This window comes from Homo sapiens, chromosome 8 (genome assembly GCF_000001405.40).
Source record: "Homo sapiens chromosome 8, GRCh38.p14 Primary Assembly".
In the NCBI taxonomy this organism is placed as follows: Eukaryota; Metazoa; Chordata; class Mammalia; order Primates; family Hominidae; genus Homo; species Homo sapiens.
In genome coordinates, this window is record NC_000008.11 from 106,620,820 (window position 1) to 106,640,457 (window position 19,638).

The 19,638-nt window shown below is 36.2% G+C and overlaps 1 protein-coding gene and 1 long non-coding RNA gene across 11 annotated transcripts in view; one reads left to right on the forward strand and one right to left on the reverse strand.

Moving 5' to 3' along the window:
* OXR1 (oxidation resistance 1) overlaps positions 1-19,638 on the forward strand; it is a 482,517-nt gene that overhangs the window by 350,642 nt on the left and 112,237 nt on the right. The gene's annotated exons all lie outside the window — the stretch shown is intronic.
* Positions 1-19,638, reverse strand: part of OXR1-AS1 (OXR1 antisense RNA 1) — a 140,687-nt gene that overhangs the window by 103,786 nt on the left and 17,263 nt on the right. The gene's annotated exons all lie outside the window — the stretch shown is intronic.

Here is a 19,638-nt window from a genome sequence, read left to right on the forward strand (position 1 = left end):
TGTACCAGTAAAAATAGTGAAAATGAAATGTGTATGACAGTACTTTTTAAGCCATGAAGTACTGTTAAATTATAAACCATAAGGATCAACATTAAATGAAACATTATTAGAAATGTGTGAGTAGAAAGTTAGGGAAAGGAAAGAAGGAAAAATTAAATAATTCATTCCAAATTAGAAAGTTTTAAATTATCATTGGAAATGATGATACGACCCATTAACTAGCTTTCTGAATTTAGAGGAGAACCGTGAAATCTATCTTCAGATTATTTCTTGCATATCAGAGTCCTGTCTGTTCTGAACTCCAGTGCTGAATGCATGCCAATCTCTGAGAGCTTGTATCCTTTATTGAATTAGCAAGCCACAACCCACAGTATCTCTGTGGTATTAAAAATAAAAGAGATTACTTAGATTCCCCACTTCCTTTCCTGCCTTGATTCTTTCCATTTAAAAGTGAGACCCCTGTCTCTACAAAAAATTCAAAACTAACTGGGCGTGGTTGTGCATGCCTGTAGTCCTAGCTACTTAGAAGACTGAGGTGAGAGGATTGCTTGAGTCCGGGAGTTCCAGGCTGCAATGAGCTATGACGGCACCAATTCACTCCAGCCTGGGCAACAGAGTGAGATGCTGTCTCTAAAAAAAACAAAAACAAAAATGAATTGTATTGGTTTTCACAGTTTCAAAAACATTCAATAAGAGTAAAAAAAAAAAAAACTTGTTATTTTTGCATCTTTAAAAGACAGGATACTTCAATGGCACTTGAAATAGTACTGTTGAATAGAAATTCCATTGCAATAGTAACTATAAAACACAAGATTATCCATTAAAAGTTAATATATTTAGTATATGTGTTACTTTTGAGGATAGGGATACTTTGAAAAGGCAAGAATAAAGAAAAGAAGGAAGTGCCATATTAAAGGCATGTGCAGGTTAAAAGGGGAATTGAAGGAGAGGGAATTCTTAGTCATTACTTGAAAATTATATTTTTCTACTATACTACATCTGTCAGTGGAAAGTCTAAATCACTTTATTTCCAAAGACCACAAGTTGTGACTCTGACATGAACATTTAGTCATATACTGGGGTTTAAAAAATGTTCCCATTTCAATGTATTATTAATAACAACAAACACATCAGACCCACTTGATGTTAACTGCTATACTTAGTGCTTTTAATTCACCAATTCATTAACATGTTAACACATTTTGGCATGATAATATATTATTCATATATTAAACTATATTCTTATTTCCATTAATGGAAGCATCATTTCTCTAGCTATTCAGGCCAGAAACATTGGTGTAATTCTAGGCCTTCTCTTTCTTACTGACCCTGCATCTAATCAGCCCAGAGATCCTGTTGGCTCTCTTCTCAGAATAAACCCAGAATCTGTCCAGTCCTTACCACTTGCACTGCTTCCTCCTCGGTCCAAACACCATCATCTTTTGACTGCACTGTGCAAGAGACTCCCAACCGGCCTCCTGTCTCTGCTTTTGCTCCCCAATCCCCACCCCAGTCAGTTTTCAGTGAGGCAACTGGGAGGAATGTGGTTCAAACATGAATCTCATTGTATCGCTCCTTTGTCCAAACCCAAAGTCCTAATCATGGCCCACAGGGCCCTAACTGATCACCCCCAGCACACACACACACACACACACACACACACACACCCCTTACTTCATATAATTCCCCCGCCATTACTCCACTCCGACTTCACTAGTCTCTTTGCTATTCCTTGAACACACCATGCCTGCTTCTTTCTCAAGGCCTTTGCAATTTGTGTGCCCTCTACCTTGAAGGCTCTCCTCCTAGAGATCCACATAGCCAACTTCCTCACTTTCTTCGGGTTCTTATAAAATTGTCTTTTCAGTGAGACCTTCCCTGGCCACTGTACCTAAAATTTCAAATCCCCTGCCCATCAACAGTTCACATACACTCTTCTCTGCTTTTTTTCTTTTTCTCCTTACACTAACACATATTTATCTACCTTATTGGAATACAAACATTATAAAAAATGAATTTTTGTCTTTTTCCCTCCATATTCTAGCCCTTGTACCAAGAGCAGGGCCTAATACGTAGAATGTCTTCAAACATTATTTGTTGAATATATCCTCAGTTAACCCTGTACCCTCAATAGGTACAATTATTACCCCCATTTTACAGATGAGGAAGTTAAGGACAGAAAAATTAAGAAACTTATTCAAAGTCAAACAAGCTAAGCAAGCGTCAGAGCTAAGATTCAAACCCAAGACCCTGGCTCCAAAATATATGTTCAGATCACTGACTGAGTAGATTAATTAGAAGAAGAGAGCTACCTATAGATTCCTCTATTCCCTGAGATTTTCTTCAATATGGGTTCCATCCAGTTAAATGGAAAAATTGTGTCATCTGCTACTGACAACATAGTCAGATATAGTAAAGCTCCTTTTTCTCATTCCTCTTTAATTTCTTTTTGTAAAAAAAAGTATGAGACCTTTTAAAAATAGAAAATATATGTATATTTTTTAAAAGCAACCCTAATCCCACCCCTGTGGACATTAAAATAGTAATAATAATGTTAACTTACACAATAGTAAAAAAAAAACACTAGGGAAAAGTATGAAATGAAAACATGCATTGAATGCCTATTATATTCTGTAATAAGTCGGCACTCTGAGGACATATTTGTTACATGGAGTCTAATGAGAGAGACAGACACATACTCAGACAAACTCTAAATTGGAATTCAGAAGAAAAAACATCAAACAGAAGTCTTGTGACAGCTGAAAGTGGGGCCTGGTAGAGTAAGTTGTGGGGCAGGTGAATAGTAGTGGTGGAAAGGGATTGAAGAACTGGAGACTGAAGAAACAGTTTCTGAAAGAGGAGGTGGGAGAGTACCAAAGAGAAATGTGACTTACCTCACTATTTTGCTATAGAGGATGGGACTTAGTATGAGAGAAGGTTTTTAAATAACATTTTATATGCCGTAGAATAGAAATTACAGGAAAATCAGTTATTGAAAGGCTGTGTTGAATTTAACTTGTAAAAGGGTATCATTACTTATCCAAATGCATCATGTGAGAAAATTGTCCAGTTCATTTCCCCAGACTACCTCAATCTATTCCTTCTGACAAACCAGAACAAGAAATTCTGTTTTCCAAATTGTTATTTTTGCTAACACATTAAGCCAGCTTCAGCTTCCTACAGCACACATACACACACACTATCCTGTGTTATCCTGTGTCTGTTTAGTGTTTTCATTCACATGTGTGTTTTCTTTCCTCTCCACCCTTGTTTCTCTGGAAAGTCAGGTTTTCGACCAATTATTTCCCTGATTTGACAAGGTCACTCTGAACTTACTTTCATTGAAACCATTGGCAGTATGGTCTAGCTTAGTGACAGACTGCTGGGTCACTCAGGTCCTTTGATAAAAGGGCATAGTGCCCTTGTATGGTGGCCATTCCAAATAAGGAAGTAAAGAAGGAGTAAGATATTTAGATAACAAATGTTAAGAAGAAAATAATAGAGTAATGAGACTGGAGTAGGGTAGGGCAGTGGTGCAATTAGCCTGGCTAACGATGGGGGCATCTCTGAGAAGGTGTCATTAGAATTGAAACCCAAATTGTGAGAAGAAAGCAGAAAAACAAGGATCGGGAAGAATAGCTAACCAGGTAGAGAGAAAAGCCAGGTGGTAGAAATTAATTTGCTTTGTTCAAGGAACAGAACAAATACCAGTAAGATGGGACAGAGTGGTAGGGGTACAAAAATGAGGTCTCAGAGATAGCTGAGGGCTGGGTATACACTCAAACTGACCTTCGTTTACATCTACAAGCACTGGAATTGCTGTTTTTCAGGTGTGTCCCAATTGTAAATCTACCATTATTTATTGTAGAAAATAACTTCACATTGCTCTGCACTGTAAAAAACCTTTGACATACATTCGCATTTTATTTAACATTTCATAACATCACTTTGAAGTTTGCAGACCTGATGTTTGTTTTTGGTTTTGTTTCTGAGACAGGATCTCACTCTGTTGCCGGGCTGGAGTACAGTGATGCAATCATGGCTCACTGCAGCCTTGACCTCCCTGAGCTCAAGTGATCCTCCCACCTCAACACACTAAGGAGCTGGGACTTCAGGCATGTGCCACTATGCCCGGCTAATTTTTCTATTTTTTGTAGAGATGGGGTTTCATCACATTGCCCAAGATGGTATCGAATTCCTGGGCTCAAGCAATCCTCCCACGTTGGCCTCCCAAAGCGCTAGAATTACAGGCATGAGCCACTGCACCTGGCCAAGCCTAATGTTATTTCTGTTTTGTGGATAAGGAAATTATGATACCAAAAGGTTACATGAATTCCATAAAAAGGTCAACTCCCCTTCCCTCCCCATACCCCACATGTTTTGACATGCTATGCTTGACACCCATTTTGACTTGCTAGGCTAAATCAAAATTTTCAAGCTGGGAGCAGTCGTGTGTACCTGTAATCCCAGCTTGCTGAGGCAAGAGAATTACTTGAGACCAGCCTGGACAACAAAGTGAGACCACCCCCTTTCAGAAAGTCAAAACTGCCTTTTAGCTTGGATAGAAAATGGATTTGTGACTTTGGTATAACTAAGGGCTCATTATTGCTCAAAACAGGAAAACAAAAAGAATTGCTGCAATGAATGAAAAACAGGCAACCTTGGTTTGTTCTAATAGCACATGTGTGTAGAGCAAGAATCTACATTCTCTGTTTAGCCACATTTTTTATTCTGCTGGGTGGCTAGTTTATAAATCATGTGTTGGTCACTGTCAGATTTAAGTTTTAAGTAATTCTCTCTGAAACATGTATTTGAGGAGAGCAGGACAGCTTAGGCCTGGTGAGATATGTTGACAATCTGAACTAGGGTAATGATAGTTTAGGTCTCCTCGCTTAGCCATCTTAGTCACTAAGGTGTGTCTGCATTGTATAATCAATAATGTTTCCCAATCTTGTTGAAATGACCTCACATGTGATAGCACTTAAAAATTCAAAGAAGTGAGCTATAGTTACTTTTCTTCTATTTTTCATATATTTACTTTATTGTAAACGTATATTAGATTATATATGTCTTTTTAGGAATTTCAGTTATATTTAATACATATTTTTTTCTCTATATGCTTAAAATTGCTTTTAATTTTATATCTTTTCAAATACTAATGTATAATTTTTAGAATTAAAAAATATTTTCTATCAAGAAGTACTATTGTGCTCTGTTCTGCGTTTTGTGTGTGTGTGTGTGTGTGTGTGTCTTATAGCATAAGTTCTTACAAGAAAAAAGACAATTTTCTTAAGTTGAAAAAACAATCTAGATACATTAAAAATATTCCAGTGTTGAAGCTATCAAGCCTACTTTTTAGAGGCAAAAGATAGCTAATCCTGTTTTTCCTTGTAAAAAAAATTTTTAAAAAGATATTATATAGAAGTATATTATTTACTGACTCAACTATTAACTAAAAAGCCGTTTCACCCTATGCAGATGATAAGATGAAGGTTATCTTTAAAATTCATTTTCTAAAAAAAAAAAGTCTTTCCTGTTTCTTGCTTATTGTTTTTATAATTTTAGTTGTATTTCTACACATGTCATTCTCTGTATGGCATGGCCTTGATTGAAGTTTGGTGTCTTTTCCCTTTTCATTCAGTCCTTTTCATATTTTTACATTAATGTAATTATTTTTGCTTTGGTTTTCTGGTTTATTAACACCTTCTCTGTCTGAATTATTAAATCCATGTTGTAAATTTTTTTTTACCTTAAAAGTAGCTCATTTTCTTAGGTTTTTTTTTTTTTTAACACTTACACATTTATTAAGCTTGAGGTATGTGTTTAATAATATCTTTAAAAAAATTATTTCACTTTTCTGCCAAGTCTCAAAGCTGCTTTCCTGATTTAACATTGTAGATCCCTGTAATAATTTTTTACAAATCACTATTACCAGATCTTAAACTTGAGGAAAAAATTTTGTGGTTATTATTCACTAGCGTTGTGATAAATATTTCAAATTAATTTTTAAATATATATTATAATTATCATATTTTAAATGCATCATGATTTTAATGTGCTCAATAACTTTTGTAAAGCACTAGGATATATTTTTTCTTATATTATTTAAAATATTCGAGTCCTGAAAAATATGAAATGCTTGGATACATTTCCTCTATTATGTTTCGATGCTTTTCTCCGTAGTTAACCTCTCGTGTCTACAACAACCTGTATCTCAAAGTACATGCACATGTTATGCAAACAACTAAAACCAAGGCAAAAAAAAGTACATTCTATTAAGCAAAATTGGATTGGAAGCACATCCGTAAAGGGAAGAATTCAGGATAGAATAGTGATATTTCAAAAGAAAACTTGGTTTCTCACAGATTCCTCATGGTATATATTCAGATGTTGTTACATAAGAGAACATTCCTTCCAAATTATTTAGTTTCTGGTGTTTTGAGAGAAGAGTAGCCTTCGACATGTCTTAAACTTCCCTTGCATTCATTACTTTTTAAATGTATGCATTTTAATATGGAGACTCTCCCACAAAAATAGTGGAAAAGGACTGGTGTTTTACAGTGGAAATACTAAATGCTGTTGAGATAAGGAAAATCAACTTTTTGAAAGAAAAAAAGATGAAATGATAGCCATCTGATGGTTAAAAAGTGGTAACGTGAGATATTCTATATTTGTGTTTTACATCAATTCTATTATGTCTGATTTACCCTTGAATCAATGTAGTGGCTTAATGATGATGACATCATCAACATATGAAGATGACAAAAAAAATTAAGCTACCGAACTACCCAAATGTTTTTAGGGAATCTTTCTACTTCTTCCCCGCAGCCAAGAAGCAATTATACTGACATTTAGTTCTTTCATTTCCAGCAGGAAGCTTACCTACTCTTTTTTCGGAGATGATTAAAACCTCATGCCACTTAGCAATAAAGAGACCACCATTACTGGTGGGATTCATAGTGGAAAGCATTAAGCATTTTGGCAGTGAGTCCTAAAGCCTTTACCATAGCAGGATTGATATAGGAATAAGTGGAGATTGAGGGCACAGGGGATCCACCAGCTATCCCTTCTGCAGGTCTGTATGATTGCACTTAGCAGATTTCCCATGCTTACTATTACACAGAGAGATTTACTACATAGAATTCCTAACTGGACTCCTACCTTTCAGGTTTCTCCCTGCCTTTCCAATCCATTATCCACACTGCCATCTTAACAGTATTTCTAAAACGTAAAATTCATTGGTTCTCTCCTTTAAAAATCTTTGGAGATTTCCTATTGCCTTCTTCATGTGGTCCAAACTCCTTATTATGGCACATGTGGGTCTTTCAGGGTTTCTAACCTATATTCCTAGAACCTCCTGTTTTCTGTGTCCTTTTCCCAAAGAGCTGACATTAGGAATGCCTGTCCATTGGATTGTTGCAAGGGTTCGATGATAAAATATATAGAAATATTTCATAATAGCTAGCATTTATTGACCCTTTATCATCTTACCAGGTGCCAAAGACTGGGCAGGGAATTTATACATATTCTCTCATTTAATCTTCATACAACCCCAAGAGATGTAAATGCTTTTATAAACTCCATTTTATAAATGAAGAAACAGATTTTGAGAGGTCAGGCAACTTTCCCAAGGTCACACCTATAGATAGAAATGGAGTTGAATTTTATCTCTCCAACTCCAAAATTGATGCTTTTATAGATTTTACTGTTGCTTGGCACATTTCCTAGTGTACAATTCCATTTGATTAAATATTCATTTTTTAAAAACCATTACTATAAAACTTACAGTATCTAAAAAATATTTTGGTTTGCTTTCCTTGCCCTCCAAGGTTAGCTGATACCTCACTTCTTGGACTCTTTCTAGATGTCCCATCCCCTCTCTGCTATCCTCTTCCATCTTCACACGCATCATACTTCAAGTGTAATGGTTGACCTGTATATCTAATGCCTCTGATCTGTTGGCACTTCACGTATGCAGCACTGTGTCTCCATTGTCTTCGTACCCTCAGGGATTAGCATCTTGATGTTCAGCATTCAATATCTGTTGAACAACTGAAGGAATAAAACAGACTCCAAGGATAATTTTAAAGTATGTGGGCTCTCTCTTTTCTCACAACTGCTGCATTTCTGCTTCCATTTAATGTTTAACTGCACTAACACTTCAACTAACACTCAGCTAGATTATGAAAGAGCAAAGACAGACTTCAGAGCGTAACAGAGTAAGAGAGAATGAAGAAAAGACAAAATCACCCTCTTTTACTTCATTCCTCTCCCCCACCCTCCAAACTTGAGAGATTGTCTTGCCAGATGAGGAAGAGACAAAGTTGAAGGAGAGAAAAGGTGTGCTTAGATAGTAAAATAACATTTAAATTTTTTTAAAGATTAGTTATACCTTGTGTTAAGTCTGCTATTCAAGTCTGTTTTTTTTTTTCCTCATGGTCCTTTTTAACAATATTTTGCAAACACAGGAAAACCTACATTCATGGCATTTCTGAGAGGTTGGCAAATGAGGAAACACTCCCAAATTCTCTCCTGAGAACTTACAGGAGATCAACTGATGAGCACATGGTCACCAAGTGAGTCAGTGTAAGTTCTATGAATAGGGCTTGGATCTTCTGACTACTCGTCTAGGGTCCTAGTCATCTAGCTACTGCCATGTTCCCTGAAGAATTTGGTAAAAATAGCAGATGGCATAACTGACAAAGTAAATCATTGTCATTGCCACTGTCCATGTTCTATTTTTCCATGTTCAGTAGCATAATTTAAAAACTCATTAATGCATGTATGCTATTGGTTATTATGTAATAATATGTAAAAAACACCAGTACAGAAATACTTCTATAATTTACATTATACCTTTAAATACAGAGAACCCACATAATATCACCACAAAGGCATTTCATAAATTATAGAATAAAACACATAAATATTCATTCTGCATTATTATTCTGCTAAGGAAGAGCGCAAACATTATTTTTAACAAACTGCTCTTTAAAAAAACTTGTGTGGTAGGATTCTCCATCTGTGAGTGAGATTCAACAACTATAAGGTCCAAAGCAGATTTGGTACTCTGGGAGAAAATAGTAATAATGTAAAACAAAATAATAGTCAATGTGATCTAAATACAGTATATCTATAAAGTACAATCTCTTTCTTAAGAGAGAGAAACTCCTGCCTCTGCCTTTACATTTATTAGACAAACATTAAAATCTCACCAATTTACCCCCTTTGTCTCTTCTTTATATAGGGAGATTGTGGCTTAGCTTTCTCTGGGAGATTGTGGCTTAGCTTTCTCTGTAGATATAAAAGGCAAATAAAGCCTGGGTTTGGGTCCTAGCGCTGCTACCAGACAAATGTGGAACAGTAGAAAAGTCCTACAATCTCCTTTAGCTTCCGTTTCTTTATCTGCAATGTGGGGATAATGTTACTTACTGTCCTTCCCCTCAAGGTTGTTGCAGAGATGAATGACATAGGTGTAAATAGGGCTGAACTCATTCAATCTCTGAACAGAGAAGGATTCTTACAACATGGACTCTAACTTCGCCATTTTTCAGCTAAGAAAACTGGGGCACAGGAATGGTAAAGGTCATGCGTGTCTAAGACACTTGGCCAGTGAGTTATACATCTATTATAAGACTAGAAACTAAGTATTTTGATTCCGTACTATGTTGTTGTGTTTTATTTTTGTGTTTTATTATTGTGTCGCTGTAAGGTTTCTTTGTCTTTTCACTTACTAGGCACAACAGAACTCATATGCACGTGCAAGAAGTAAAAGCTATGATAAAATTATCTGGAAGGGGAAGCGGGTTGTTTACACAAAGTAACATGATAGCAGATGAGCAAAGAGGAAGGTACAAGGAAGAATATTTACTAGAGAGTTTACAGCATGCCAAACATAGAGTAAAAAGTGAAAACCTTTTAGCCAGATTTGTATACCTGATTAAATATCTACTAAGGGTATTATTTTTAATGTATAGAGTTATCAAAAACACATTCCTTGCTTTCTGTTTCTAACACTTCTAGTTCTAGGGCTCAGTGGCTCTTAACAATGAGCACCAAAACCCTGCTTCATGCTGTGTTGCTGCCTGTGCTAGCTGAGGGCAGAAGGTGCAGTGAGAAAATGTAAGGGACTTTTGGGGGTTGGTCGGAAAGAGATGAGGAATAGTTACTGGGCATGAAGATAATTGGAAAAGAAGAAAATATTGACTAAACATGTCAAATACTCATTCAATAATGAAAAGTAAGAAAGACCAACAATATGTGAGTGGTTGAGAGAGGAGAGGCAGAAAAGGGAACCAGGAGAGTGGAAGTGCTTGAAGCTTTTTAGATGAGAGTAAGAGCTGACTTAACCCTGTGTATGTTTGATCATTACTAATCCTCCTTATACCCTAGTTCCTTCCTTTATTTCCTTAATTTCCACATCTATATAAATAGAATATAAATACAAATGTAAATGTATTATCTATAAATAGAGATAAACGTAAGTATTACATTATCACCTGTGGTTTTCTCAAAGCTCACAACTATTCTATGGCAGTTCTTGATGGCATTAAGTGAGGATGTTAACCTGTTGTTTTACATGCATATGGATGGAACACAAAATTAAGGTGGCAATGTAAAGCCTTTAGAAATATTCACCCTTCAACTGTTTAAGCAACCCACTTTGCATTTATCTATTAGTCTTTTGTTTAGCTGCCATAAAAGCCCTATTAAAATGTTTTTGTGGTCTTAATTTTTAAGTTGTTGCAAATTGAATTGTTAAAGGTAAAATATTTTATGGTGTAAGCCTATAGTGAGAGCAATAAGTGAACATGTAATATGTTTTAATTGCATTCTGTTACCGTATTTATTTCACTTCACAGATATTTATTAAATGGTTACTATATGCCAATAATGAGCTAGATCATGTTGTAAAGGATCATAATCAGCCTACTAAGAAAGATTTGATTCTAATAAGGTCATACAGATGTTCAGTGAATTTACTTGGAGAACATATTGCTGAGATAGGGATTTAATTGCCAACTGAAAAAATCCCTTCAGTAAAGTTCTGAGAAAATTGCTATGTCTGCTATTTATTACAGCACCTTATATACTACTATATCCCTCATCAAGATATAGTACAAAAAATATACTAAATACTTAGTTTGGAAACTGAAATATGATCAGAGGCCCTGGGAATATTTTAGTTCTTATCCTAGACAAGGAGACCAAAAAGTGTATACTCATTGAGAAAATGTCAATATGCTCGCTAAACCTAAATATAGATTAGGAAGACAGAAAGTTTTCTAGATATGAAATGAAGAAAGATACAACATGATCCAAATAGAGCTACCCTTCAGATTTTAATGAAAGGTTTAGAGAGAAAAAAATAGTGTTCTTCAAGCTTAATGTGAAAACAAATATTACCTTCAAGTGGTGTCTTCAAGTACATACCTAGTTTTGCAGTAGCATCCATTATTGAAGTGATTACATAAAACATGTTCTGTGTCTTTTATCTTTATATGGACAGTTTTTGGAAAACTGTTATGGCCTAAAATCTGAACATGTTTTAAAAATGTTATTGTGTTTGTTTCTGGATAATCTTATTTCATCTAATTCATTTTTATGTTCAGCTTTTAATCAATAATTTCAGGTTAAATGCAATTAAATGTCTGAAAATCAAACAAGCTGTCAAATTAAATGCTCTACTATCTAATAATTGATGGGTTTTTCTTGTTGGCTAATGCTTCTTCTGTATTGATCTTAATTTTGGTCCAGGCACTCAAAAGAGGGGAACACTTTATATACCTCTTTTTTTTTATTTCAATTGTTTCTGCCTTTTGTCAAGTTAGACATAATTTTGTAGCCTGTCATACAATTTTTACTTATGCTTTACTTGCATCACAATGTAAATAGTATGATTCAAAATATTGCATATTCCAGCATGGGCAACTGGCAAAACCCTGTCTCTACCAAAAATACAACAAAAAATTAGCTGGACATAGTGGTGCATGGCTGTGGTCCCAGCTATTCAGGAGGCTGAGGTGGGAGGCTCACTTGAGCCCAGGAGGCAGAGGTTGCAGTGAACCAAGATCACACCACTGCACTCCAGCCTGGGTGACAGAGTGAGACCCTGTTTCAAAAAACAGCCAACCGGCCGGGTGCGGTGGCTCACACCTGTAATCCCAGCACTTTGGGAGGCTGAGGCGGGTGTATCACAAGCTCAGGAGTTCAAGACAAGCCTGGCCAAGATGGTGAAACCCTGTCTCTACTAAAAATACAAAAATTGCCAGGCATGGTGGCAGGTGCCTGTAATCCCAGCTACTCGGGAGGCTGAGGCAGAGAATTGCTTGAACCCGGGAGGCAGAGGTTGCAGTGAGCCGAGATTGCGCCACTGCACTCCAGCCTGGGCGACACAGTGAGATTCCATCAAAAAAACAAAACAAAACAAAACAAACAACAACAAAAAAAAAGCCAACCAAAGAAAATATTGCATAATAAAAAACACTACAAAATTATGTTAATAGCACTACTCTACTCTGCTGTTATTATATGGCCGTCTTACAAATAACTCTTCAAAAGTTATTGATTTTCAAAATATTCCCTTCAATTATTTTACTTTGGTCTTAGTGCTCTTTGTCAATTTTACCATCGTATCTTACTCTTTGTATCATTAAAGTAAGATAATACATCTCTGAAAGCCATAGTCTTCTAGAAAAGACATCTGAAAAACTCAAGCCCAAAAGGAAAAAGAAAAGACCAAAGTGTAGAACAATGTTGGGCTTATTATCTAATTTATTTTTGGCCCTGATCATCTGAGCCAGCAGTTGCTTCTTTTGAAAGGTGGCTCAAAGTTACTCTGTGCTGATAGAATTTATTACAAGGAAAGGAATAATTTCCTCGTCATGGTGTCAACTTATAATTGCAGACTTCAAGTTCATATAAGTCATCTGCTATGTTCCTAAAGTCATAAGACAATTCAGAATGTACATTGCTGTTTTGGGTCATCCTAGGCTTCCTTCTCTAGCTTCTTAGATTTCCCAAAGTGTCAAGTTTAATTTGAGGATTTGCTCCAAACTGCAGGAGCTTATTAAACAAAAGTAAGGAAATATCAGAGGTCCCATATGCTTAACTTCAGCAATTTCCTTATTAATAATGACATACAAAAAGGCTACATAATTCATATTGGATTTACCTGAATCGACAATAATCTCCCTTGGTTTTCTAATATCCACCTTAGGATGATTTTGAACCATTTTACATAGTACCATTTTGTTACAAAATTTCCATGATAAACTATCAGAACTACTACTCTTTGAAAGACTTACTTGAATGCGTTAACATAAGATTTTTTGAAAGTCTTATTTGTAGGCTTTATGAGCCAGTATAACGTGAAAGGCAAGTTAAAACATGAAAAGGAAATCCTCCAAAAACTAACAATATGCTCCCTCTGAGGGTCCTGCCTAGTTCTGTGGCATGCAAAGCTATAGCTGATTTATAGGAGAGCCTCAAATGAACAAAGGGCTGAAAAGCTAATTTTAGAAGAAAGGTCCCAGCAACTAAAATATTTTAGCTCAGAGTAAAAAGGTTACAAAATCAAGTTATAGTAGCATATATTTATTGACCACTTGTCACATGCCCTATAATGTAGGTACTATTATACCCATTTTACAGATGAGAAAACTGAGGTTTAGGGAAATTAAGTAACTTGCACATACAAGTAGTAAGTGATGGAGGTGGAAGTGGACTAATAGAAATATGACTGTAGAGCCCTCTTTTTAATGCTACAGTTATTACAAAGTATAAGGATGATATTCCTACAGATCAAGTAGTTAACTGAATCACATATCTCCTTAATAAATTATTCCCAAAAAAGATGAGCTTGAATCTATTCAAGTTTTTTAGACTTAACATCATTTACTTAATTAGAAATTAAGGGTAATAAAGGAGGAATATGTTAAATAATACCACATGGAAGCAAACATGCAAATCTAGACCAGGATAACTGACCTATTTCTGTAACAAGCTCTTGGCATGCAAAAAAAAAAAAAAGGCCTTTGCTAGGATCTTGCTAGTGTGGTCCACTTTGAGTCCAGCAACATTGGCACTACCTGGGAGATGTTAAAATGCAGTAGCTCTAGCCCTCCCCAGACCCTACTGAATCTTAAGATCCATAAGTGATTCATTTGCATATTAAAGTTTGAGAGGCACTGGTCTTAATGACAAAGACTTAATCAGTTATAATATGTAGACCTTGTTTAAATGATTTAAAGAACCAGCTGCAAAAAGATATTTTTGCCAAGAGAGGAGATTTGGTCATTGACTTGTTCATCGATTCTACCAAAGAATGACTGTTAATTTCACGAGGTGTGATAATGGTGCCTCCTGGATATGAATGAATGTCCAAATCTTTTAAAATTTAGGCATGCATAGTGAAGTGTATATGTCTAGAATTTTCTTTACAGTGTTTTATCAAAGAAAATAGCAATAAGTGATGCAAATATGAGAAAATCTTGAAAATTGTTGCATATGTGTGATTGGCCATTCTACTCCTCTATTTTTGAGTATATTATAGAGCTTTTCATAAATTTGTTTTTATTTTAAAGATTAAAAGAAATGGGTTTATGCCTTAGGAGAGGTGCATTTGTTTTTGTTTTTGTTTTTTTGACATAGTCTTGTTCTGTGGTCCAGGCTGGAGTGCAGTGGCACAATCTTGGCTCATTGCAACCTCCGCCTCCTGGGTTCAAACGATTCTTGTGCCTCAGACTCCCAAGTAGCTGGGATTACAGGCATGCACCACCACACCCAGCTAATTTTTGTATTTTTAGTAGAGACAGGGTTTTGCCATGTTCCCAAGGCTGGTCTCGAACTCCTGAGCTCAAGCAATCTGCTGCCTGCCTCAGCCTCCAAAAGTATTGGGATTACAGGTGTGAGCCATTGCACCCGGCCTCGAATTTTAGAAATAACTATAAGAAAGAAGTTTCTTATAGTAAGAGTGATTAATCACTTAAAGGGATGCCAGAAAATCTTTCTCCAAAGGATTTTTTACAATAGGACAAATTCATTGGTCTGGGGCAGTTTTAGATATAGTCTTGGTAAAAGCCAGAAGACTTAAAAAACTTTCAAGTTCTCTTTCACAAGAAATGATTCCATGGTAGATGTTATACTTGTGAATACTTTGGGCCATTTGCGTCAGATTTAATGCCTTAGTTATGATTTTCTTAAAAAGCAGTTGATGATGGCTCTGTTCTAGCCCTGTACTTACTCTCATGGCATTCTTCACTGGCAGTTCACTTTAATGGTTGACCAATGGAATGCTGAGCTACCTACTTGTCCACATCAAGCATTTAATAGAGTCCTGTACTAATCTCATTCTTATAAGTGCGAACTAAGGCCTTTTGATGTTATGTGATCAATAGGAAACACTTTAAGCTGGTATGTGTTTGTCATATAGAAAAGCATTCCTTTTAACATCATATAAACCCTTTAATGTACTTACTCACTGTAAAGCACATCATTTTTTTTTTTTTATTTCTGGACAAGGAGGGCAAACAGGAATTCCACAAGCTATTACCAGCCAAACCCTTTTGCAACTTATTAAGTGGCAGTATTTGTGCTAGTATGTCTTATATTTTGTGGCTCCTTCCTATAGAAACCCGAGAATAGTTTTCAAAAACTAAAATAAACTCAGCCATCATCCCCAGAGATAGACACTATGCTGTATGCAGATGAACCACTAATGCCTGACTGGTTTAGTAGATGCCATGTATTTATAGAGTGAGTCAGTGGGACAGCAAAAATTTGCTTCCAGAAACCTTCCTATTTAAAATACAAATAGTTTCTCCTATATGGTTCTATGTTTTGGTCTATTTGTTTGGGCTTCATGGGATAATACAAAGGATCTAAGTTTTTCTTTAAACGAATACCTATTAGGAGGAATAAATGAGTAGAATAGGATAGTGAAGGGAATTTTGGTTTCAACTGTGAAGCAGAGTCACTGACACTCAGACAGTGCTACTTACATTCCTGTCATTTAGGTATGCCCATGGTGACAGGCTCCCTATTTATAGGAAGCCGCATTCTTAGATGTGTATGATTTTCAATTTTGTAGATATTTGTTTGCTTTTCCTCTTCTTTATTCTTCTAGTCACCTAGTCTCTCTCTGTTCCATCCACAAGAGCAGCTCCTGCATAAAATTTTCTCCATTGCTCATTAGCCCTCAGTGAGTACAAACAAAATCTGGTAGTCAAATCGTAATCATTCCTTTGGCATACTGCAAACATGCCCCACACACCCCTCTACTCCTCAGCTTGTTTGTTTTGCTATGGTACAATATTATCATCCTTGGCTAGAGAATTGTAATTAAAATAATTTGTTGTTTCTCCTAACCTTGTTGCTACTGTTAAAGATTGTTCATGATTATAAAATATAATAACATTTCAAGATACCTAAAATTCTTCTACTACTGTAGGAGCATGATGCTATTTTAAAATTATGTTATGTCAAAAGAAAGAACTTTAATGTGTGTGTGTATATATATATATCCAAAATGGATTCTACAGTGAAATAAAACAATGAGTACCATTTAAGGATCATTTTCCCCAGAAAACATAAGATTAAGACAAAAAGATGAACACGTGTTAAATATTTTATTTCATTCTGTAATGAAGGAACCAGTAAGATGTTACAGATAGTTCAAAGGGGAACTCAAAAACCAGACATATTTATAAATCAAGACGACTGAAATGAAAGTATAGACGGTACATTCTTCCAACCTTGGGGAGGAAAGTCAATTCAAAGTCTATTGGGTTGAATTTGCATAGACAAGAATGTCATTGTTTATAGACAAAAACCGTTTTGTCTTGCTACCAGCTTTTACAATTTATAGAGTTGTAAATTAGCTCCTATCAAATCAGAATCAGATAGCCCTAAGAGTATACTCTAGACACTACATAGTTTCGACTTTTTTTTTTTTTTTTTTTAGACGGAGTCTTGCTGTGTCACCCAGGCTGGAGTGCTGTGGCGCGATCTCGGCTCACTGCAAGCTCTGCCTCCCGGGTTCACGCCATTCTCCTGCCTCAGCCTCCTGAGTAGCTGGGACTACAGGCACCCACCACCATGCCCGGCTACTTTTTTGTATTTTTTTTTAGTAGAGACGGGGTTTCACCGAGTTAGCCAGGATGGTCTTGATCTCCTGACCTCGTGATCCACCCGCCTCGGCCTCCCAAAGTGCTGGGATTACAGGCGTGAGCCACCGTGCCTGGCCCGATTTTTATTTTAACCAGCAGTTTTGTATTCCTAAGGGCAGGATATCCATAGTTAGTCCCTCCTGCCAAGAAAAAGAAGTCCAGCCTCCTTAGGCTGACGTTCACAATTTAGCTTCAGCTTCTTTCTAACATTTTCTTTTATGAATCCCACCATCCCTATATCCTATTTTATTCAGTCAAAGTTAACTACATATTCCCAAATTCTAATTAATCTTTCAAGTCATTGATAAATCGTCACCTTCACCAAGAAGCCATGTCGTATTTTATCTATTCTAACCGGGAATTACTACCCTCCTTTTGATACTTACGCATTTTTTAGTACTTTTCTTCTATATTGACTATCTGCTGTTCTCAAACTTGAAGGCATCAGAATCACCTAGAGTACTTGTTAAAACACAGATTGCTGAGCCTCATCTATCCTCTGTATCACTGGATTTGAGGTGGGGCCTGTGAATTTGCATTTCTTACAAGTTCTAAGATAACATTGATCCTGCTTCTCTGAGGACAACACTTTAAGAACCACCCACCCAGGGATGTCAAAAAGCAAATACCCGGCTGGGCGCGATGACTCACACCTGTAATTCCAGCACTTTGATAGGCCGAGGTGGGCAGATCACCTGAGTTCAGGACTAGCCTGGCCAACATGGTGAAATCCCATCTCTACTAAAACTACAAAAATTAGCTGGGCGTGGTGGCACGTGTCTGTAGTCCCAGCTACTCAGGAGGCTGAGGCAGGAGAAATGCTTGAACCTGGGAGGTTGAGGTTGCAAGTGAGCAGATATCGTGCCACTGCACTCCAACCTGGGCGCAAGAGTGAGACTCCATTTCAAAAAAAAAAAAAAAACCTATAAAACAACACAACAAAAATCAAAAAAAAATTCAGTTTAAAAATCTAATTGGCTTTTTTCTTTCAGCAGCTCATGAATGGGACAGCATCCCATCTATGAAATAGAAAGGTGCTTGAATGAGTTGGCTTTATAGGAAGAAAAGGGCTAAAGAAGTGGAAACAAAAAGTAGAGTGGTCATTTTGAAGTTACTTTCCTTATAGAGTTAAACCAGAGGGGACTTTCCTATCATACCACTTCAGGTTGACTGGACCCCTTCTGACTGGTTGCTATGAATCTTCCTTTTTTTTGTTTTTGCTTTTAAACTGGTTCATTTTAAATTTCAGTCTGATTGTGCGGCACCTAGCACATGTCACTCTATTCTGATTTGTTCTGGTCTTATGGGGCCTACTGCAGGTGCTTCCATAAATGGCCTTAAACAATTGCCATTAAACAATGGCCAACCTTCCATAAAACAATGGCCTTCTGTAAATTTTATTTTATACAGAGAAACCATGTAAAAAACTGCAGACAAGAAGATGAATGAGACATATACCCAGCTCTTCATGAGTTCACAATCTAACGGGAGTGTTGAAAGCTGGCTCCCCAAAATATCACTGATATTACCTTTTTGGTAAGACAAAACAAGTTCATTGAGGTATGGAGAATACCACTTCAACAGAGCCTTTGTAGTGCCTAAAAAGAAGGAAAAGGGTGGGACATAGTTGGAATATTTGAGATTTTCAAGTCTAATTTAAGGCAGATCTCTCAATAGGGCAACTTGGCTAAGATTGGGTAAGGATCATGATATGATAGTTTAGGATTGATAAAATAAGATGTGGCAAGGGATTCAAAGAGTCCTAGTGTATAAACTATTGATTAATGCTTTCTATTGAAGAATTGATGTATCATTCCAGATGCTCCTAGAATAAACTAGGAGACAGTAGAGTGAGTGTAAGGTCATGTTAATGTAGACAAGTATATTAATGGTTTCCATTCTCAGAGACAGACACATAAACAAAAAATTAGTATGGTAAGGTAAGTATAATCAAGGTAGTCACAGTGCCCTTTGTGAGCAAGTATATCAAATCTTGTAACCTCCCTGCCATCTGCCACTGCCAGGAATTCCAAGATGGTGAATGTCTTACTTTGGTTTATCTCTGGTATATCAAGGAAAAGGCACTGATTTTTAGCAAGGCAAAGTTTGTCCTTGTTTCTTTCTCTTTCTTTGTTTATACTGTTAACAGCCTCAGAACTGATGTGTATACTTTCACATATTTTATCTTACAAACAATATCAAATTTGTGGGGAATGAAAATAGTTCATATTTATTAAAGACCTACTATATCATACAACCAATGCAAATATATATATATGTTTGCATATATACAAATATATACATTTGTATATACGTATTTGTGTATATATACTAATACATATATTTGCATATTTGTATATAGATGTATATATACACAAATATATGCATATGTATATATACATATATATTAATGAACTATATTTTATATTTTCATGTTAATTATGATTTTCCCCTTATAATGCAGATAATC